Genomic DNA, 23943 nt, shown 5'->3' with positions numbered 1-23943 from the left:
CATGTAACTCATTAAATTTAGTATGATATTATATTTAATGTATTGTAATATGTTTAAATGCCAGGGCCAAGAAAAGGCACTGATGATAAGCAACGTCTCTTACAGCATATTCCAAAGAAGACCAGTTTCTGAGTGACAAGCTGAGTATAATGAATGCTTAGGTTCTTAAACTGTGTCCTATTCCACTTAGGCAATAAAAATGAAAATCCAAGATTTGATCAAATATCAAACTAACCACCAGCAAGAAAAGTCCAGCCCCAAAGCAAGGCGGCTGGGTTGAATAAAGTCCAGAACTTTTGTTGTCTTGGTGTTTCTCCTTGGGTGATGATGTCCTGCTCTCGGACACAGCCCTCAATCTGTCAGACCATCTTGAGTGTGTATAGCCTCTCTCCCTCTTTATCTTTAACTTAACCTATTTTTCTGCTCAAATGAAGTGCAATCAAGCATTCCTTGGTCTTCAAAGCAAGCTGGGAATCCAAAAGAGATGATAGCTGTGAGTTAGCCTTCCAGGAATGTATTTATTCTGTATCTCTAGTTAGTATTTCATGGATTGCTTTTAATCACTGCACTGCTGAGTAACGGGGTCCTCTTTGTCTCTGAGATTGTGAACCAATCTCACAGTGAACCAATCACACAGTGATTTTCTTCCCCAGCTGTGGCACGCTCAGAAACTGCTTGGAATATACTATAAGAAATGTTGCTTCTCATCTGTGCACTTTCTTGGCCCCAGTATTTTAACAGTAATTGTTTTCAAGGGTCTAGCTGTCTCAGATAACAATCTTGAACAATACCTTAAAGCTCCTTGGACTTAGAGCTTTAGAATAGGAAAAAAAAAAGATTCACTGAGAATGACCACACATACCAGCACTGAAGCATCTATAATTTCCTTAACAGTTAAGATCTAGGTTTTGTCACTGGGTCTACTCATCTCTCCCTCTACATCTAAGGCATACTGCTCTCTCTTTCCATCTAAGGCAGATCAAAATCTTTTTTTTTTGTTTTTCTTTTTTGAGACAAGGTCTCACTGTGTCCCCCAGGCTGGAGTACAGTGGCATGCTCATAGCTCACTGCAGCCTCCATCTCCTGGGCTCAAGCAATCCTCCTACCTCGGCCTTCTGAGTAGCTGAGACTACAGGCACATGCCACCACACCTAGATAATTTAAAAAAATTTTTTAGTAGAGACAAGGTCTATGTTGCCCAGGCTGGTCTCAAACTCCTGAGCTCAAGTGATCCTCCCACCTCGGCCTCCCAATGTGCTGGGATTACAGGTGTGAGCCACCGTGCCCAGCTCACAGTGTCATTTTTGGAGTGTAGACTCAGACTTTTGATTCCTTATCAACCCTGTGCTTCAGGCAGCTACTTCTAAAAAATCAGACTTGGTGCGTGAATTGACACTTGAGCCGATACATACACATACACTCCATGCATTCAAACATGCTCCTAATTACAAAGACTATACAAGAGTGGTGGCATTAACCCAGGGCCGCCCTCACAAGGGAACTGGTAAACTTCTCAGTGTGGTGTCACTTTGAGAAATGTCTCAATCCACTTCCTGTTCGTTCTCCAGTTTCTTATCTGTCTATAGACCCTTTCCATATCCCTTGCTCTTCCTTGTCCCATAATAATCCAAATCAAAATGGTCACTTCTTGTTTTAGTCTAACTGCAGAGACTCCTCAGTGTCTCACATGGCAATTGCTCAGAGCTTGGATTTTAAGCAAAACTTTCATCTCCTGGATTTTTATAGCTCTAACAGCTGTTCTGCCTAATTTACTGCTCCAGGTTTATATAAGACTGGCGGTTAAGGATGCTCAGGCACCTCCAATAGAGTCTTGGTAAAATGCCTGGAGCAGCTGCCTCCTACCTGGGAATGGTTTCTCCTATTTGGGGCACTAGGAGGGGTTCTGCAGATCATCTGGCTTTTTGCAGGAAGATAATAACTTCCATGCTGAGTGACACCTGAAAATCTTCCCCCACGTTGCGGAGGTCAGTAAAAATCACAAGATCGAGTTCCTCTTCCAGATTTTTTAATGTTTAGCTATTTCCTACTGACTCTTACATGGGTTACAATGCAATAATAATAAATGTATGTATAAACAAGGACAGACCATTACTTTCATCATCTCGGATTTAAGAGCAGCACATTCTTTAAAAAAAAATGGATTTGGTCTTTATCAAACTATATATGTTGTTTCTGCAAGAATATATGGAGACAATTGAAACAGTTTCTTTAGTTTCAATCCCGTGCTAAACTAAGGAACTTTTCTAACTGCTGCTTAGCTGGTTGTATCTCCTCTCCACTGGCCTTTCTTTAACCCCAACCTCAATGGGGACTCCTGGCTTCCTAATGTCCATTTGCTGCACCTGTGCTCTGACCTCGTGACAAAATGATTTAAGTCATTTGGTTTTCTCACAGAAACAATGTTACACTGGACATGATGACTCACTTTTCATGGGTGTGACCCCAAAGAAAATATTAAATCAATTAATCATATTATAACCAATATATTATATATTTTAAAAACTATATGAGGTAATAAGGAGAATCGTGGGAACTCATCAACATATTTATATGTAATATGAGGTAATAAAAACCAAAATTTTGAGGCTTTGAAATCTCTGCCTCATTTTTAACTGTCACAAGTTCCGCTGTCATGAAATAGAGCTTCTTTGTGACGGTTTTATGGACATTTGAACAGCCTTCTGATGAAATCTTGAATTTCTTGATGGCTATGGAATAAACTGATATAAGATTGGCTTATTAGACATTTTGCTCACTATGAATTTATTTAGAGAAGGTAAACACAAAAAGAGCTACAATTGATTGTTATTAATAAGAATGGTACTGTGATGATTTTACAGCTGAGGAAACTGAGGTATCAACAGGTGAGGTTCCTTGCCTGAGGCCACACAGCTAGTAAATAGTAGAGCCAAGATTTCATCCCAGGCCGTGTGAAATCAAGGACTCGGAGGAATACAGGATGTATGAAATGCAATGATAGACAATGAGATCAGAACATTAGATTGGAGCCACTTTATAATGTACACAGTTGCGTTATCATTTTTCTCTAAGGCAGGGTCAGGCTGGGGTCAAACCTACTTGCTTTATCTTATAAGGTATGCATCCCTTTCTTCATGGTTCCATCAATTGTCTCCTAGCATCCCACTTTGCATCATTTGCACGCAATATAATTCATTTATAATATCAAAATAAATAGTTGAGGCCGGACATGGTGGCTCATGCCTGTAATCCCAGCACTTTGGGAGGCTGAGGAGGATGGATTATTTGAGGAGAAGAGTTCAAGACCAGCCTGGCCACCATGGTGAAACCCTGTCTCTATTAAAATTCAAAAATTAGCTGGACGTGGTGATGGGCGCCTGTAATTGCAGCTACTCAGGAGGCTGAGACAGGAGAACTGCTTGAACCCGGGAAGTGGAGGTTGCAGTGAGCTAAGATCGCGCCACTGCGTTCCAGCCTGGGTGACAGAGTGAGACCTTCTCAAAAATAAATAAATAATAGTAGAGATGATACTACCCACATATTTGACATAAGAAATCGCTTGATAGTAGTTTTTGAATTTGTATTTTGTAAGCACTTTATTGCCTTTCAAAACATATAAAATATAATCATTGGCATTATGGGGAAAAAAGTAAGAGAGTGAGTTCTCACCAAGCCAAACCCTCTTTCCTTGCACTAACTCTATGCGTTCTTCTAAACTCCTATACAACAGTGTCCTGTGTTTTCAGATTCATCTGGGAAAAATGTATTGCCAGCATGGAGTTGATAAGTCTGTAGACCACCAAAATACATATTTCAGAATTTCTGCATTTTTTATCCCCAAATTCTCATTTACCTTGGGGTTCATCTAGAGCAATCATAAAAATAGCCACCAGTTTTGAGTCTCATTAAAATTCCTAATCTCCAGATGTTATCAGTATAGACAATTTTAGAAACATAATAAAGCTTCCTTTTTCAACTAACTTATAAAAGCAAAATAGAAAATAGCTTTTCTAAAATTAGGCATGTCTTTGGAGGGCTGCTGTTCTTTCCCAGATGAGTGCGTGTTTAGTTCTCACTTTTTACTTATAGTTATTTGCATCCTAACAGTTTGTGGTTTAACATAAAAATAATTACATTAGCACCTTTCATCCTTAAGGGCTGGTATAAAGTTATATGTCTTATGATACCACCAGAAGGCTTTAGTGCGAGAGTACCACATGCTGACCATCTGTGAGGCGGGAGAAATATTGTCTAGGGAGACCAAATCACCCTCCTTTTTCTTGAAAATAATATATTAACCTCCTTATATACAGATGTTACATTTTCTCCATTTTACAAAGCTTAGCTTTATAGGATTCTCAAATACATTGAAGGAAACAATTTCCTTATAAAATTTTACTTATATCTAAATTTCCAGAAAATAAATTTTATGTTTGATGCTTCCTTTTCCTAACAGACCATGGAAACATCAAGGGAGGCGTGTATCACTGATGTGTACCCTCTGTACCGTGTTCAAAGCAGTTGCACAAAGAGTAATGCGTTTGGAATGGGAAGCCTGTTGGTAGCCAGCGATGCTGCCACATTCAAGTGGGCATCCCCGCCCCCAATTACCTGGCCTCTCAACTAAGCACAGGGCTTTCTCTCTCTTTTAGAGGTGACTTTCTAGAAGATTATTGGCAAATTGGAAAACAAAAGTCCTAATTGTCACATCATTTGTTAGGATGTGAAAATTTAGGGGAAAAAAGGAAAGAAAAAAAAGGACCCAAAGTAATGTAAAGCTTGGTAGATTATTTTATCCCTTAATTTAGGCAGGCTAAAAATACATTGTGGTAGTTATGAACTCTTGTTAAGGCTTGACACAATATCTGGAGTATGTGTCTAAATGTAAATATCACCTTTTAAAAAAATTTAGCTTCTTAAAGTTAGTAATTAAGGATATGTCACAGATTTTTCAACAAATGTTATTTGATGATAGTGACATACAAGGCTAAGAAGAGATGCTATAACTTAGAATAGGTAGGTGCTAGTAAAAGTGTAGTATGACTCCATAGCTAGGCTGTTAAGTATATTGTCAAAGAATTCTGAAACTTCTGTGTGAGCCAATATCCCAAGCACAGGTGGATCAAATACCAGGACATCTGTTTTCTAAATCTGGCGTTAATCCTGTCTTTTTAAGATCACTGGAGGAAATTCTTAAATCATTGTAAATTTATGACTGTAGTTTTTCCCTATTATTCATATACAACACTCCCAGGGTATCTCAGCTATGTTGACAAAAATGCATAGCATGCATAGCAAATGAGACCAGAAACCTGGAGATTTCTTTTCCCAGGATTAAATCTAGGAAACCAAGGAACTTAAATTGGGGAAGTTTAGGAATAGTTCATTAAATATAGGGGTCCCCCACTACATGGTCTCAGCTCTGTGTTTGGGCAAGAAGAAATGGCACTGAAAATATATGCTATAGGAATCCACTATGACCACCTACTCGGGAAGAATTCACAGGAAAGTTTCTTTGTGGAAGTTTAGTGTGATTATTGTCAGTAATTGCACTACACAGTTCTAGCCACATTCCAATGGCTTTAAGCAATTTGAGGTCTGAGATCTGTTGTATGTGTCTTTGTACTGACAACATCAATACAACATCAATACCAGCCCCCACCCACCATCTCCTAGTGCTTAGCATGTGGTAAATGATGATCAGTAAATGATGAGAAATGGAGACTGGAATCTATTCTATTCTCATGCAGTGTCTTTGTTGAGAGACCAAATTGTAGATAAAGAGTAATGAATTTTTAAGTGTGTATTAGGTTGGCAATTTGTCCACTCCCAGCTTATTCAATAAAATCATTCAAAACTATGTACCTTTTTTTTTTTTTTTAAATAGAAACTTAAGGAAACTGGGCACAGTCTCCTTCATATCAAATCTCATGTTCACAGTGCTTGTTTTACAAGCCATAGTTGTAGAGCTAATTGGACAATTAACTTGGGGGGAGCATACTTCCTAACCTTAGAATTAACAACAGTGGCAAACACATTAGAAAACTCCAAGGGTGAGTACAGTTGCAAAATAGGCCCTTGATGGTTATTTCAGAAACTCTGCACTGAGCACACATAGTGACTTGGAAGCACTTGTATAGCTTTCTGTTGCTTGAATAGTCCACTCAGATTTCAGACCCTGCTAGGAATCATCAACCAGCTCTGGGTAAAGGACTGAATCAGAATGGCTGGTCATCCATCACAAATCATAACAATTCCCAAGAAAATTAATTCCAGTCTTTCTTTAAAAAAAAAAAAAATCCTGGTGTATTTTGAATTATAGAATGAAATAAGGAAAATATTTATCTCCTTGGAAGGATACTGGGAGAAAATTAAAAAATTTACCTTTGTTGTTTTGTTCTTGTTTTGTTTTGTTTCGTTTTTTGTTTCCACCCACTGCATTGAAAAACATGCCTTTTCTCTGAGAATTAATGAGGCAATTAGCATTCATATTGCTTCTCAGGGCAAATCTATGTTTGTGGCCTGATAGGGTTTGGCTTATTGTCCCCATCCAAATCTCATGTAGAATTGTAATTTCTATAATCCCCATCAGTCAAGGAAAGGACCTGGTGGGAGGTAGTTGGATTGTGGGGGTGGTTTCTCCTGTGATGTTCTCCTGTTGGTGAGTTCTCGTGAGATCTGATGGTTTGATAAGGGGGTTCCTTCTTTGCTCTCTCTCACCTGCCACCATGTAAGACATGCCTGCTTCCTTTTCTGCCATGATTGTAAGTTTCCTGAGGCCTCCCCAGTCATGTGGAACTGTGAGTCAATTAAACCTCTTTCCTTTACAAATTACCCAGTCTTAGGTAGTATTTTCACAGCAGTGTGAACACGGACTAATACATGACTGTAATGAAAATGGAATGTGGCTTTTAAGCTAAAATAGCCAGTCAAAGAATTTTTTATATTCCTTTTCTCCCCTTGCATGCTAGTCCGAATGCCATTTTTTATAATGCCTCAGTTTTCCGATCTATGAAATGGGTATATATTGGTTTTCTGTTGCGTAACAAATTACCACAAATTTAGCAGCTTAAATCAATACTCATTTATTGGCTTACAGTTCTATAGGTCAGAAATCCAGGGATGGCATGACTGGGCTCTCCACTCAGATCTCCCAAAGATGAAGGTGTTAACTACGGCTGTGAAGTCATCTGAGGCTGGGGCTGTCTTCCAAGTTCATATGGTTGTGGAAGATTTCAGTTCCTCATGGTTGTAGAGCTGAACTTGTACTTCTGTTTCTTTGCTGGTTGTCAGCCAGGGGCCATTCTCAACATTCAGAGGCCACCCAGGCACCTCACTCCATGATCCCTCCACATGTTTTTTGTTTTGTTTTGTTTTGTTTTGTTTTGTTTTGTTTTGAGATAGTCTCACTCTGTTGCCCAGGCTGGAGTGCAGTGGCTCAATCTCGGCTCACTGCAAGCTCCGCCTCCCGGGTTCAGGCCATTCTCCTGCCCCAGCCTCTCGAGTAGCTGGGACTACAGGCACCCGCCACCATGCCTGGCTAATTTTTTGTATTTTTAGTAGAGCTGGGGTTTCACCGTATCAGCCAGGATGGTCTTGATCTCCTGACCTCATGATCTGCCCGCCTCCCAGAGTGCTGGGATTACAGGCGTGAGCCACCGTACTCGGCTGACCCCTCTACATCTTTAAAGCCAGCTGTGGAGAGTCTCCCTCCTGTCAAATCCCTCTCATGCTTCAAATCCACTTTGCCAAGGAGAGCCTAGATCTTTTTAAGAGCTCTCCTGATTAGCTTAGGCCCACTGAGAATAATCTCCCTTTCTTCAAGTCAGCTGATTTGGGACTTTAATTACATCTGCAAAATCCCTTCACAGTAGCACCTAGATTTGTATTCAGTTGAATATCTGAGAACACGTGTATACCAGGGGGTGAGAATCTTGGGTGCTCTCCTAGAATTCTGCCTACTGGCTGGGCACAGTAATTCACACCTGTAATCCCAGCACTTTGGGAGGCTGAGGCAGATGAATAGCTTGAGCTCAGGAATTTGAGACCAGCCTGGGCAACATGGCAAGACCCTCTCTCTACTAGCTGGGCATGGTGGTGTGCACCTGTGGTCCCAGCTACTGAGAAGGCTGAGGTGGGAGAATTCCTTGAACTTAGGAGGCAGAGGTTGCAGTGAGCTGAGATTGTGCCACTGCACTCTAGCCTGGGTGACAGAGCGAGACCCTGTCTCAAAAACAAACAAAACAAACAAACAAAAAAAAAACAAAACTACCTACTACAGGATAACAGTAATACCTTAGCGTATTATTAAATGGATAGAGACATGTGTAAAGCACTTAGCATGCTCAACAAATGGGATCTAGTATTAATGTCTCTCTCTACTATATTTTCCTGCCTGCATGGATTTTTAAATTATAGTGTTACAAGCACACTAGAAACATGAGAGACTATGTTGCTCATTATTTAGATACTCCCCAGAAAGCAGAGATACTAGGGCCACAGTGAACAAACTCACAGAACCCAATGTTTAGACTATTTGCTGAAAGTTGATGAATTAATTCAGATTATTTAAAAACTATAGTTAAAAGAGACCAGGATATCACTAATGTTGGTACTCTAAACCCATCTATAATGTGGCATAAAATGAAGTACGTATGGGTCTCTGCACTGAACTTTTTTTTTCCTTTAACAAGAGAAATGCATCACTGAATCCATGCCTTAAACACCAACATTTTTCAGAAAGAATTGTTTTGTTTCTACTCATGCTCTGAATGTAAAATGAATACTTCAAATGCTCCATTCATGCAAAGGCCTTTATGTCCCCTTTCTCCCTGTAATAGTTCCAATCTAGAATAGGCAACATTATGCAATTTGGTGACCCTGCTGCAACAATGGAAATGCTTCTCACAGGCTGTGGGAAGAAAGACACCTAAGGGGTTAACAGTAATATTTTGCAAATTGAGGCAAGTGAAGGAAAAAATACATTAGCATAAGAAAAGATAGCCGTAGGGAATTTTCCACTCAAATGTTTGATACTAAGAGCCCTATGTTACCAAGGAGGAGGCTATAGAAGAAAACCCTTAGTGTCTATGCATTCTCAAATTACATTGCCATTGTATTCGTTCTATGGGTGAGAAAGACTCATAGTTATAGAGATGGAAAATTGTTCTTTCTAGAAGTAAGAAAAGTAAAAATTGGATATACTAAGAAAACCATCTTGGATTATTGCAAGAAAGCAAGAGGATTCCTCAGGAACAGTCCCCAAAAGACTTCCTAAATGTGTCAGGACTAGACTAGAGATTAAAAGTGAAAGTCTTAAGCAATGATTTTAATTTTTAACTAGAATGTGCCCCAAATGTCTGCAATTAATTTAACTCAAATTTAACAGTTTTTACTCATTTTAGAAATTGTGTAACTCACGATATGTGAATGTAGTTAGCAGGTATTTCCCTTTTGTTAATAAACAGACTTATTTGAAGATTGATCTGTAGGAAATATCCAAATTGGAGTTGTAATTATTTTTGTTGAAAACATTTAAAATAAGTGTAAAAGGTTCTCACTGATTTAAGATAGAAAATATAATTGTTACCCATTTCAATGAAGATATTGGTTTTGAAATCAATCTTTACTCTTAGGAATGATTGGCCAGTAAAAAAAAAATAATTTATCTGAGTCTGAATTTTATTAGGTTTAACACTACAGTAAACATAGATGTCCAAATAAATCATGATGCATTTCATTAATAAATTAAGATAGAGAAGGACCAGCTTATTTTAGATAACAAATTGTTTATAGGGACTGATATCTATAGGAGGAATGGAAAAAAGATGTGTTATTATGTTTCTGAGAAAGGTCTTCCCCAATTAAGAAGATGCAATTTTGGATTATTAAAGATAAGAATAGCATAAAACTAAAGATCATCCAAGTCCTGCAAAATTTGTCCAGAAGCTGATAATAAAATTCAATGGATAAGCTGATAATAAAATTCAATGGAATTCAAATTCAATTTTCAGGGGATCATGTCAGAATCAATTGAGAAAAAAAGCTGTCCCATGATCTTTCTATTATATGCAGATTATGTTCAAAGTTTCTATGGAATAGTGACCTTGTTTATTTTGTGCCTGCCTTTGTTCAATTTATGTGTGAACATTGAAGAGATTAAGGTTTCAGGTCTTTATCCCTGAGAAGATGACACAAATAAATGAATTTGCCTTCTCAAGCACAAAGAACTCTATGGTAGTCAATAAGGAAAGTCATTCTGAACTGAAGCTTCAGGGAAAAGGAAGAGGAGAGAAGAGAATTTAAAAAGTACTAAGTAACATCATTCCTTTAATGTTGAAATTTTTATAATAGGATTTTGCCACTTTTTGAGATGTTATGAATAGCGCATCCCATACTAATGTAAGTAAAAAATGCATCCACAAATGAAGTGAAATACTTTTTGATAATTTATGTCATGGCTTCTCAATCCTAGTATAGAAATTTGAGAAATGGTTATAGACCAATACGCTTTTCAATATAAATTTGACACTTTTATTCCCCATGCTTATTTACAAGATGTGCCATCCATCTGACAGTTCCTAGAGAAGAGGAGTCAGTATATAGCAGTCATTCATTCAGTAATAACAGATCATTTCAATGCACATGGGAGGGGGTGGGTGGGAATTACTTTTTAATCTAAGAACCACTCAAAGCCACCAAATATGTTATCAATACTCTGAATTATGCCTTCTGAAAGGAGTTTTCAAATCTACACTTTACCACAGTCTGTCTATAATCCAGCTCTTTCCTACGTTATTACGACCACATTTTTTTGATTCTGTAAGGAGAAAGTAAAGTGAAAAGAGGTAACCTGTTTGAGTCTAATGACAGTAGTTTAGAATGCTCGCTTATTTAGACATAGAATCATAAAGCTGGAAAGCAACTTAGTGATGACGCATCACACTCTTCTTCCTACCCAGCACCCTCCTTTCAAAGAGGGAAAGTAAAGCGCATAGGGTCTTGTTTATTTTACTTCTTGTACTTTTTTCCTCTCTGTTCAGGAATCAAAAGCCTGTCTTCTTCTCTGATCTTCTTTTAACTGAATTTAGCATTTTCTATTTCATTTCCCAACCTGACTTCCTTTTTTGACTAGAAATATGGATACTTAGACCGGCCACCTCTTTACTTTGGAATTATGGTACATTAATTTTCTTCCTTTTACAGTATGAAGAACTAAGTCAAGCTTCTCTTGATTCAATAACCCACAGATATCAAAACCCATGGTAAGCAAATATGAATATATTTTTATTAATTACTGTGTTTCTTTCCTAAATTGGTAACAGGATTCATTTTTGTAAACTTTTAAGTATATTAACACTTTCTTTTTATTTCATGTAGGTTTTTGATAAATTTACGAATTTTTATTTCTAATAAACACAGTAAATATGCACTATCTGCTAAATTTTAATTAAGGGGAGAAAAGGAATAACGCAACATAGTTAGAATGAGAAACTGTTAGACTATAGTAAAGAAAAGGAGAAGCAAGCCTGAAGCTATGAAGAATGGCAACTGGATTAGTAGATTAGCTTTAACTTTATAAATAATTATCTCTGTGGAAGAAACAATATTAATTTTTTTCAGATTAAAAAACTCATTTCATGCTGTTGGCCTGGAAACCATCATAATGGGTAATCTTGGTTAATAAACATAATCTTACTAAAGTCACATAATGGCTTCAATTCAAATTATCTTATGGCAGCTTCTGACCCAAATGAAACATGGGTAGCTCACAGCATGTTAAATTACAGGAAACAAGCAAAAGCTGACTTGTCATCTAGGTATAACATATGATTCAGATTCCTAAGAGGGAAAAGATCAATCAGCATTGCTCTTACAAGACTCCAGATTGAATACTGTCTTTGTTATCATAGGTTTTTGAAGGTGAGGATTTCTGGGGCTTATTTTACTTCACTTTTAATTGTTGAAGGATTTAGCTATTAGCATATGCAAAATCACTGGATTTTATTAGCCCTGAGGTGGCTATACTATACCAACATAAACTGCATCAAATAGAGAAAAGACTTCAAACCCCATGTCAAAAGCCTATTATTTCAGAACAAAAAAAATACCTTAGTGGGCAATTCCTATAACTTATTAAACACGTACCATATTTAAAGCCACAAAGAAACAGATATACTTTAAAGCATGAATAACACATATTCTCATTAAAATATTCTACTTCATTTGTTTAGATAGCATTGCAGGCATCCACTGCAATTACTTTATCAAATATTTCCAAGCAAAGAAAAACATTAAAGACCACTGAAAATCAATAAAACTTCAACAAGCATTGGTGGTAAAAGCATGAAAATGTGCTGCATTTATTTAAACATTAAAAACTTGTTGGAGGGTATCTGAGAAACACTGAAGCCCTGGGCATGTTCTTTGAATGAAAGAATGTTGGCTATATTCATTTCTAGGGAATATGCTGTGGGTTGAACTGAGTCATGAGGATGTAGAATAGTTATGAAAGAGACCTTGTATTTAGGAGATTGCAGATTCAACTAGGAAACTGGGTGTATATGTGAAGAAAAATAACAAAATTACTTTGCAAACACTGAGAGCCAAATTAATAATGAAGATAATATTTAGAAAATTATAGCTAGAATTTTTGTTTAATTAAATGTATTGACAACCTCCTGGACTCATCTATAACTCCTGGCTTGGGTCCTATTTAACTAGTCAGACACCAATAACCTGAATACTCTTTCCTTTGTGAGACTATAAGCACCTACCCTGTTTCAAAGCCCTTGTTAGCAGGGTACTTTTGAATAGGGCCCTGACTCAGTTTCAGGTGTGCCCCACCCCTTTGCATTCTCTAAGGTGGCCTGAGAGCCATCTTTTTCCTGGGCAAAGGTTAGTGCTGAGTCTCCCAACCAGTTTTCATGTTCTGTTCTTTTCAGTCAATAGCATTCACTCAATATGTTCAGCATCTCCTGGGTTCAAAGCACTGTTAGATTCTGTGGCCATCATGGTGAACCAGCCAGCCTCAGTATATGCCCTTCTTGGAACTTGTATTCTAGGGGAGGAGGCAGACATTGAAGCAACAACATGGCTTTTAAAAAATAATGTATTGGCTGGACACAGTGGCTCATGCCTGTAATCCCAGCACTTTGGGAGGCCCAGCAAGGCAGGAGGATCAATTGAGGTCAGGAGTTTGAGTCTAGCCTTTGCAACATGACGAAACCCCATCTCTACAAATAATAAAAAACTAACAGGACATGGTGGCTGTGCCTGTCTCCGCTATTCAGGAGCCTGAGGTGGGAGGATGGCTTAAGCCCAGGAGTTCAAGGCCAGCCTGGGCAACATAGAATCCCCATCTCTACAAGAAAAATTTTAAAAATTAGTCAGGAGTGGTGGTACACACATGTGGTCCCAGCTACTGAGGGGGCTGAGGTGAGGTGGGGGAGGAACACTTGAGCCCGGGAGGTCGAGGCTGCAGTGAGCCTTGATCATGCCAGTACACTCCAGCCTCAGCAACAGAGCCCCTTCTCCAAAAATAAAAAATAAATAACAACAGACCATACTGTTTCTCAAAAGCAAATGTTTTAAATTACAAATATAATTCATGCTTATGGCAACAAATCAAACAACATAGAGGTATATTGAGAAAAAGTTAACATCTGACCCGAATCCATCCGGTTTCTGATAAAATAGTTCATTATAAAAGAATATTTATGGGATGTAAAGAGAAGGTTTTCCCAGGGCACCCACCTGGACTGAGGGTCAGATAAGTGTTTACTGAGAGAAGTGATTATTAAGCTGATGTTGACAAGATAGGTGAGGACGGGCACAGTGGCTCACGCCTGTAATCCCAGAATTTTGGGAGGCCAAGGTGGGTGATCACTTGAGGTCAAGAGTTCAAGACCAGCCTGGCAACATGGTGAAACCCTGTCTGTACTAATAATACAAAAACTAGCCAGGCGTAGTAGTGGGTGCCTGTAATCCCAGCTACTTGGGAGGCTGAGGCAAGAGAATCACTTGAACCCAGGAGATGGAGGTTGCAGTGAGCTGAGATGGTATCACTGTACTCCAGCCTGGGCGACAGAGAAACTGTGTCTCAAAAAAAGAAAAAAGGTAGGTGAGTACAAGATCATTCCTGGCAGAGAGAAAAGCATGAGCCAGGCCCTGAGGTGGGAAAGAGTACATCAAATTACAACCTGTGCTGCCAGACTGTATAGAAAGCAATGGGGAGAGTAGTGAGATGAGGATCAGATTTTGTAGAAACTTGTGACCTGGGTTAGAGAATTTGGATTTTAATAAATATAAGAACAAAGAAAATTCATTAGAAGATTTAAAATAGAAAGCAATCTGATCTTAACCTGTTTTGTTAAGATCATTCTGGAATGTTGGAATGTTATATGGAGAAGGGATTGGAAGGTGACAAGAACAGCTATAGAAAGATCAGCCAGGGCCAGGCTTGGTGGCTCACACCTGTAATCTCAGTTACTGGGGAGACTGAGGCAGGAGAATCACTTGAACCCGGGAGGTGGAGGTTGCAGTGAGCCGAGATCACACCACTGTACTCCAGCCTGGGCAATAGAGCGAGACTCCATCTCAAGAAAAAAATAAATAAATAAAAAAGAAACATCAGCCAGGAGACGATTTCATTTTTACAGGCCCATCTTGAGTTTTCAGTGGGCTTTGCAAACAAGCCAAAACAAATGTAATTATGGAGAGCTGGGGCCAGGGGAAAGGTTCAGTTGAGCTTTTAAAGAAAGGTGGGCTTTAAGTAAATGGAGAAAAGAAGAGACCATATTTGTTATAATGATGGGGAAGTAAAGCATGTGTATACAGCAATCTGATGAAGCAGATTTAACAATATCTTAATTTTAGGTGAAGAGATCGAATGTCAGAGATTGTCACATGACCAGGGTCACAGAGCTCACATCCTATTGATCGGGGTTTGGATCTGGACTTGGATATTTTATTTATTTATCTTTTTTGAGACAGAGTTTTGCTCTGTTGCCGAGGCTGGAGTGCAACGGCGCGATCTCCGCTCGCTGCAGCCTCTGCCTCCCAGATTCAAGCCATTCTCCTGCCTCAACCTCCCAAGTAGCTGGGACTACAGGCATGCACCATCATGCCCAGCTAATTTTTGTATTTTCAGTAGAGACAGGGTTTCACCATATTGGCCAGGCTGGTCTCAAACTCCTGGCCTCGTGATCCACCCACGCGGCCTCCCAAAGTGCTGGGATTACAGGCGTGAGCCACCGCACCCAGCTAGGGCTTGGACATTTTAAAAGGGCCCTACAAATGATTGTGATGTATCGCCAGGGCTGAGAGCCGCTAGTGACAACTGAGAAATGAAAGGGACTGAGCCTTGTGGGATGCCCACATTGAGGGCAAGATAAATGGGAGCCACTGAAGAAGAAAAGGAGCCTTAGAGGTCAATTCCTATAGAAGGCTATAGCAGCCGGTGAAGAATTTTGAGAGGAAGAGTTTAATGCAAGGAAACAAAGAAATCAAGGAAAACACAGCAGACAAATGTTTAGAGGTGATCAGTGGCCTCAGAAAAAGCAGTATAGGAAAAGTAGGATGCTTTGAGTCAGTGTCACTAGTGCTGAGAAATGTTTGTCTACTGACATAATGCAGGCAAGAGTCCACTCTATGACATGAGAAATTCAGTTAGAGCACAATTACCGGACTTCTTCCATTCGAAGGCATATTTTTTACATTTTAATATTCTTGAAATCAGGATGCATTTTATATAGTTGTTTATAAATACCATGTTCAAATGCAGTGCCTTTTTTTTGGCCTCCAGTGTAAAACTATTAAACTAATGGCCGCATGCAGTGGCTCAGGCCAGGCATAGTGGCTCACACCTGTAATCCCAGCATTTTGGGAGGCCAAGGCAGGCAGATCACCTGAGGTCAGGAGTTTGAGACTAGCCTGGCCAAAGTAGTGAAATCCCATCTCTAATAAAAACACAAAAATTAGCCAGGCGTCTTTGTGCATGCCTGCGATCCCAGGTACTCCAGGAGGCTGAGGCAGAAGAATCACTTGAACCCCGGAGGTGGAGGTTGCAGTGAGCTGAGATCATGGAACTGCACTCCAGCCTGGGTGACAGAGTGAGACTCTGTCTCAAAAAAACAAAACAAAAAAAATTAATGGTGTGTTATACAATTAATTGTATCTTAAAGACTGATAAAGATGTAGGTTAGCAAATTGATGACTTGCTATGTGCTAAGCGCTCAGAATCTAAAAATTTGTACACAGAGTCCTTACTCTTAGGTTGCTCACAGAATTTTCAAGGCAGATAGATGTAACAGATGATTTCAGCACAAGATTCACTGATGGAGAGACAGTGCAGTTATTGGGTGTAGGTTAACTCATTTTTGTTGTGTGAGTGTGTGTGTGTGTATTTTAAATCTTTAATCTATTTTGATTTTTTAAAAATGTATAAATTAAAGGAAATGTACTCTTGTTTTAAGTATCTCAAGTTTCTCTAGATATGTGACCTGATGATTTGTTTTCATATGATCTCTTCTGTTTGCAATTGGGTGTTTCCTTATGTATACCTACAGTATTTCTAATTTCAACAAGCAGAATAAAAAGCATAGATAGGAAATAGAGGAATGGTTTACAGTCCAATTAAGAGAGGTCGTAAGAGAATGTATTAGCAAACAACGAATTGGCAGGGCTTTTGTTTTTTCTCTAAGAGGTGAATGGATTCTGCAGGAGCTACTCACCATTACTGAAGAGCCCACCCTATCTTCTAGGCCTTTAATAAATAATATGAAGGCTAACTTCAGAAATGCCTGTTTTTATTTTCTAATGAGAGCTAACTTTCTGTGATAATCTTTTGTTCTAGATGTTTCTGAGTCATTGAACTCGAGAAAAACTATTTCCAGGGATAGGACTTCTTTAGCTCTTTGGAATACAACTTCTTATTTTGGTAGTTGTAATTATTGTGTTATTAAACAGCTGGGCATGAGATTGATCTCAAAGTCAGTGGGTTTCTCTAAAGCTACATTGATTTAAAGGCAAACAAGTTTGGAAAGGGACAGTGTTCTTGTAGTTCCTTTGTATTAGTCCGTTTTCACACTGCTGATAAAGACATACTTGAGGCTGGGAAGAAAAAGATGTTTAATTGGACTTACAGTTCCACATGACTGGGGAGGCCTCAGAATCATGGTGGGAGGAGGAGAAGGCACTTCTTACCTGGTACCAGCAAGAGAAAATGAGGAAGATGAAAAAGTGGAAACCCCTGATAAAACCATCAGATCTTGTAAGACTTATTCACTACCACGAGAACAGTATAGGGGAAACTGCCCCCATGATTCAAATGATCTCCCACCAGGCCCCACCCACAACACATGGGAATTATGGGAGTACAATTCAAGATGAGATTTGGGTGGGGACACAGAGCCAAACCATATCATTCTGCCCCTGGCCCCTCCAAATCTCATGTCTTCACATTTCAAAACCAATCATGCCTTCCTAACAGTTCCCCAAAGTCTTAACTCATTTCATCATTACCCAAAAGTCCATAGTCCAAAGTTTCCTCTGCGACAAGGCAAGTCCCTTCTGCCTATGAGCCTGTAAAATCAAAAGCAAGCTAGTTACTTCCTCAATACAATGTGAGTACAGGTAATGGGTAAATACAGCTGTTCAAATGGGAGAAATTGGCCAAAACGAAGAGGTTACAGGGCCCATGCAAGTCCAAAATCCAGTGGAGCGGTCAAATTATAAAGCTCCAAATTTGATCTCCTTTGACTCCAGGTCTTACATCCAGGTCATGCTGATGATGTAGGAGGTAGGTTCCCATGGTCTTGGGTAGCTCCACCCCTGTGGCTTTGCAGGGTACAGTCTCCCTCCCAGCTGCTTTCCAGGCTGGCATTGAGTGTCTGTGGCTTTTCCAGGCAAATGGTGCAAGCTGTCAGTGGATTTACCATTCTGGGGTCTGGAGGACAGTTGCCCTCTCCTCACAGCTCCACTAGGCAGTGCCCCAGTAGGGACTCTGTGGGGGCTCTGGCCCCACATTTCCCTTTCACACTGCTCCAATAGAGTTTCTCCATGAGCACCCCACCCCTGCAGAAAACTTCTGCCTGGGAGTTTCCATGTATCTTCTGAAACCTAGGCAGAGGTTCTCAAACCCTAATTCTTGACTTATGTGTACTCGCAGGCTCAACACCACGTGGAAGCTGCCAAGGCTTGGGGCTTGCACCTTCTGAAGCCATGGCCCAAGCTCTATGTTGGCCCCTTTCAGCCATGGCTGGAACAGCTGGGACACAGAGCATCAAGTCCCTAGGCTGCACACAGCACAGGGACCCTGGGCCCAGCCCATTAAACCATTTTCTCCTAAGTCTCTGGGCCTGTGATGGGAGGGGCTGTCATGAAGACCTCTGATATGCCCTGGAGACATTTTCCCTGTTGTTTTGGGGATTAACATTCTGTTCCTCATTACTTATGCAAATTTCTGCTGCCAGCTTGAATTTCATGTCAGAAAATGGGTTTTTCTTTTCTATCACATTGTCAGGCTGCAAATTTTCTGAACTTTTATGCTCAGTTTCCCTTATAAAACTGAATACCTTTAGCAGCACCCAAGATGCTGCTAAATTTCACCCAAGATGCTTAGAAATTTCTTCCACCAGATACGCTAAATCATCTCTCTCAAGTTCAAAGATCCACAAATCTCTAGGGCAGGGGCAAAATGCCACCAGTCTCTTTGCTAAAACCTAACAAGAGTCATCTTTGCTCCAGTTCCCAACAAGTTCCTCATATCCATCTGAGACCACCTCAGCCTGGACCTTATTGTCCATGTTGCTATCAGGTTTCTGGTCAAAGCCATTCGACAAGTCTCTAGGAAGTTCCAAACTTTCTCACATTTTCCTGTCTTCTTCTGAGGCCTCCAAACTGTTCCAACCTCTGCCTGTTACCCAGTTTCGAAGTTGCTTCCACATTTTAGGGTATCTTTTCAGTAACACCCCACTCCTGGTACCAATTGACTGTATTAGTCCATTTTCATGCTGCTGATAAAGACACACTTGAGACTGGGAAGAAAAAGAGGTTTAATTGGACTTAGTTCCACATGGCTGGGGAAGTCTCCTTATATGGTGGTGGCAAGAGAAAATGAGGAAGATGCAGAAGTGGAAACCCCCAATAAAACCATATCTTGTGAGACTTGACTACCACAAGGACAATATGGGGAAAACCACCCCCATGATTCAAATAATCTCCCACTGGTCCTTCCCACAACATGTGGGAATTATGGGAGTACAATTCAAAATGAGATTTGGGTGGGGACACAGCCAAACCATATCATCTTTCTACTCATGATTTCACAGAATTTTTTTCAAGTCATGTTCTTTTCAAATAACAAGCAAGGAGTACTGATTCATTGGTAAATTTTACTTCCTTTCACAGTGTGTTAATTTTCCTTACCTCAGAGACAGTGGATCAGCAAACATGAAATACCTAAATACAAATCCTTAAAGTTAAAATACCAACCAGCAATCCCAGATTACCCCAGAAATACAAATAATGTGTTTGTGTGCTGTACAAAGTAAATAGATTCTGGATTTCCCTGTCATTTTACAAGCCAGAAAGAGGAATTTAGACAAAGTGATTTTGGAAAGTCTAGCCTAAGCCTTTTCCCCTTTTTCTTCACCTCACATCTGTAGTGAGAATGTATGGAAAACTACTCAAGGTTCTGAAATCACTGAGCAATCTGAACTTTCATCCATCCCTGACATATTTCAGCTAGTCACCTAGTTAGGGAAAGCATTTCACAGCAATAGGAACTCACACATGGGAACTTGGCTCCTCAACACCATTTGCCACTAATCTGACATTCTCTGCAGGTTTAGCTCCTCAAAACTTTCCTATTCTTTTCTGTATGCATTTGTGTGTGCGTGTGTGTGTCCTCTTTGTTCTACTTGGGATAACTTAAATTTTCTCACAAAGCACTCTCCTGCATCTATTTCTTTGACTTAGTCGTAAAATGGGGGAATTTAACATTCATTCTTCATTCGATCAATCTGTGTACTGCTTAATGAGGAGCTGCATATAGAAAGGTGGTCCCATAAGGTTACAATACTATATTGTTTACCTTTTCTATGTTTGGGTATGTCTAGATACACAAATACTTACCATTGTGTTACAATTGTCTACAATATTCAGTACAGTAACATGCTGTACAGGTGTGTAGCTTAGGAGCAATAGGTTATACCAAATAGCCTAGGTGTGTCGTGGGCTATGCCATCCAGGTTTGTGTAAGTACACTCTATGATGTGCACACAGTGATGAAATTGCCTACTGGCACGTTTCTCAGGACATGTCCCGTTAAGTGATGTGTGACTACATTTAGTACTCACGTACTAGGTGGTAGGCACTACAGCAAAGCATTTAGGAAACAAAGATAAATAAAAGTCTGGCACCTACCATCAAGAAGCTTATAACAGGGAAAATAAAAATAAGATATAAAACTGGCAGTTTAACCTGACAGGATACGGTAGAATGGGAAGCAGTGTGCTGTGGCTGCTCACAGTAGGAAACATCTCTAGCTCACTGGAAGCCCCCAAAACATAAGCTTGAACATGTTTTCTCCTTTGTGAACCCTTTAACATTCCCACAGACCCTCCCTTCAGCCTCCATTTTGCCTGCTTGTTTTTGAGATGGAGTCTCTCTCTGTTGCCCAGGCTGGAGTGCAATGGTGCAATCTTGGCTCACTGAAACCTCTGCCTCCAAGGTTCAAGCAATTCTGCCTCAGCCTCCTGAGTAGCTGGGATTACAGACACCTGCCACCACGACCGGCTAATTTTTGTGTTTTTAGTAGAGATGGAATTTCACCATGTTGGCCAGGCTGGTCTTGAGCTCCTGACCTCAGGTGATCCACCTGCCTCGGTCTCCCAAAGTGCTGGGATTACAGGTGTGAGCTACCACTCCTAGCCTCAGTCTCCATTTTGAAGACCGACTCAATTCCATTGCCGATTGGTCTTCCCCCCAAAATTGTGCAGCAGGCAGTGTTTTGCTTTTGCTTTCCCTTTCCCTTGCATTGAACATGGTGCTTGGCATAAATGGGCACTTGATACAATTTGCTGAATTGTGTATAAAAGACAAGTCCTGGTCTATATTGTATGCCTAACAGCTCAAATGGCTGTGGTTTAGGCTTGAGAAGCTGAATGAGTTCAAGTGATGAGGACTTCCTTAGAGGAAATTTAAGCCAGGTATAGAAGGAACATTTTAAGGAAACCTCTAGCTGCCTCCATGGGTGAATTTTTCAATATGTGCAAATGAAAGACTTGAGATTATTAAATCAGTGGAATTACAGTCAAACACCATTCTAGAAAGAAATGATGACATGCCTCTGATCTAATGTCACAATAAAGATGCCTCTTCACAAACTGGGGGTGCCTGATAAATTTGCCACTTACTTGCTGATTTATAGATTTGTCTTAAGGAACACTTACGGAACACTGCAAGTTCCTGTGGACTGTCATTGTTGGTAGATGGGGTTCGGGGTCAAGAGGCTGCAAATCCCAAGGTAAGGACAGCCAAAGTGGTTGTCAGCCATGACCAGAGAAACATGGGTTTTAAAGGACCAGAATTAACTACAACCTTCCCCAGTTTTTCATTTGCTTGAAAATCACAGAAACACAGCTCTTTTCAATATTGCCTCTCCTAGTCTTTTCTTTTGCTTTGTAATAGAAGCAAGATCATATATAACTGATCCGCTTTCTTGTGGTCTGTCTGCTCATAATCTTAGACTTCATTAATTAGCAGCCACATTCAACAGGCATGCAGCATGGCTGAGTTGAAAGAGCACAGAATTGAGAATCAAGAAAATTGGGTTCACTAGGAATTTATCCTTCCCAAGTAAGTAATAAAGGAGATGTACAAAGTTTTGCTGGAAGGAAGCCTAACAATATGTGAGCAGGAATAAAAAGTCAGAAATCACTTAATATCCCGCAAATAGGGAATTCTAATCAGTCATGAAGCACATGAAGTACAATGGCTTTAAAGACAGACTTCCTGAATTCAAGTCCCAGCTTCACCACCTCTTAGCTATGATACCTTGGACAAGTTATTTAAACTATGCCTCAGTTTTCTAATCTGTAAAATAACAGAATCTACTCCACTGGATTGTTGTATAGATAGTGTTGTTAAATATACAGACTTAGAACAGCATTTGGTACATAGGAAGGACTTAATAAATAGTATGACCATATAATTTATCACCCAAGACAGGACACTTTTGAAAGTGAAAGAGAAAGCTAATCAATGAGTCACCAGGACAATAGGATAAACTGAAACTATCCTGAACAAAGCAGGCCAGTCTATTAATAAATACTATGTATGAAACAAGTACAGCACACTGAAATAATGAAGCAAATATATCTATTAAAATTCATATTAGCTAAAAATGATCAGGATAAAGATTCAGTATGGTCTAGAAATTGTATACTATATAGGTGAGTTAATCCTTCAAAAGTAGAACAAAAAGTCTGAGATGAAAAAGAAGAGAAAAAATAAGAGATCAGTTAAAATGTATAATATCTAACAAAGGATTCAGAAAAAGGTCAGAGAAAACAGAAGGAAATAATACAAGAAAATTTATCAGAAGAGAATAATAAATTTCCAGAATGAAAGTTTCCATTAATGGTGGGGCACGGTGGCTCTTGCCTGTAATTCTAGAACTTTGGGAAGCCATGGCAGTTGAATTACTTGAGCCCAGGAGTTCAACACCAGCCTGGGAAACATGGTGAGATCCATCTCTACAAAAAATACAAAAATTAGCTGGGCATGGTGGCGCATAACTGTAGTCCCAGCTACTTGAGGTGGGAGGATCACTTCAGTTTGGGAGATCGAAGCTGCCATGAGTCAAACATCCCACTGCCCTCCAGCCTGGGTGACAGAGCAAGACTCTGTCTTAAAAAAAGTCTCATCAAATGTGAATTGAAAAAAAAAAAAAACAAACCACATACAGGCATGTGAAACTTCACAATATCAGAATGAAAAGACAACTCTAAAGCCTTCAAGAAGAAAATTAGGATATTTACAGAGGATCAGTAATCAATATGGTATCACACTTCTTGACACAATGCTGGACTCTAGAAGACACTGGGCCAATGACTTCCACAGTTGATAGAAGATGACTTTTAACCTAGAATTTTATACCCAACCAATGAGCAAGTAGGAAGGTAGAAAAAAAGAAAATTTCAGGCATCTATGTACTCAAAAAATGTACCTCCAAGCTTTTTTTCCCCCCAAGAGGCAGCTGAAGAATGTTATCTAGCAGGACAAGCAGGTAAAACAAAGAAAAAGGAGTCCAGTCCAGGAACCAAGGTACCCAACAAGGGTGACGGGCAAAGGGAATTCCTAAGACAGTGTTAAAGGACTAGGAATTTGGCTATGCAGGAGCCTAGGGAACTTTCAATTCAGACAGGAACAAGCAAAGTGGGGGCTCCAGAAGGAGCTTTATCGAGTATAAGTATTGGGTTAAATAGAGTACTAGAACCATATGGGCTAAAAGTGGTTGCTTTGGGGGAAGAGAACATTGGAGCAGGGAGAGAAGGGGATTAACATTTTAATAAGCATTTTAGTGTTATTTACATGTATTATCTACATGTATCTAAATTATTTCATTAAAATGGAGAAAAAGCACTCTATTATGTATATGTAAAAGTGTTCTATTTGGTAAAAATGAAAATTATTTTTTCTTAAATAATGATGAAAAAATTGATTTCCTTGTTTGACCTCTTTCTGGATATTTTATTAGTTAGATATTACACATTTTAATCTCTTATTTTCTTATTTCTTTCGTCTTTTCCATCTCTCGGACTTTTTGTTCTACTTTTGAAGGATTAACTCATCAATATAGTATAAAATTTCTTTACTGAATCTTTATACTGATCATTTTTAGCTAACAATATGAATTTTAATAGATATATTTGCTTC

General features: G+C 39.4%; 1 protein-coding gene across 5 annotated transcripts in view; it reads left to right on the top strand.

The window, feature by feature from the left end:
- SPMIP2 (sperm microtubule inner protein 2) overlaps positions 1 to 23943 on the top strand; it is a 189752-nt gene that overhangs the window by 111336 nt on the left and 54473 nt on the right. For all 5 annotated transcript variants that reach the window (XM_011531671.3, XM_011531672.4, XM_047449676.1 and 2 more), the window contains one exon: positions 11206 to 11264. In XM_011531671.3, the coding sequence (XP_011529973.1) occupies positions 11206 to 11264 (59 nt within the window). The remainder of the gene's footprint in view (positions 1 to 11205; positions 11265 to 23943) is intronic.

The sequence above is a fragment of the Homo sapiens genome, chromosome 4 (assembly GCF_000001405.40).
Source record: "Homo sapiens chromosome 4, GRCh38.p14 Primary Assembly".
Classification (NCBI taxonomy): domain Eukaryota; kingdom Metazoa; phylum Chordata; class Mammalia; order Primates; family Hominidae; genus Homo; species Homo sapiens.
The sequence above is the reverse complement of the archived record's forward strand: the minus strand, read 5'-3'. Positions and strand labels throughout refer to the sequence as shown.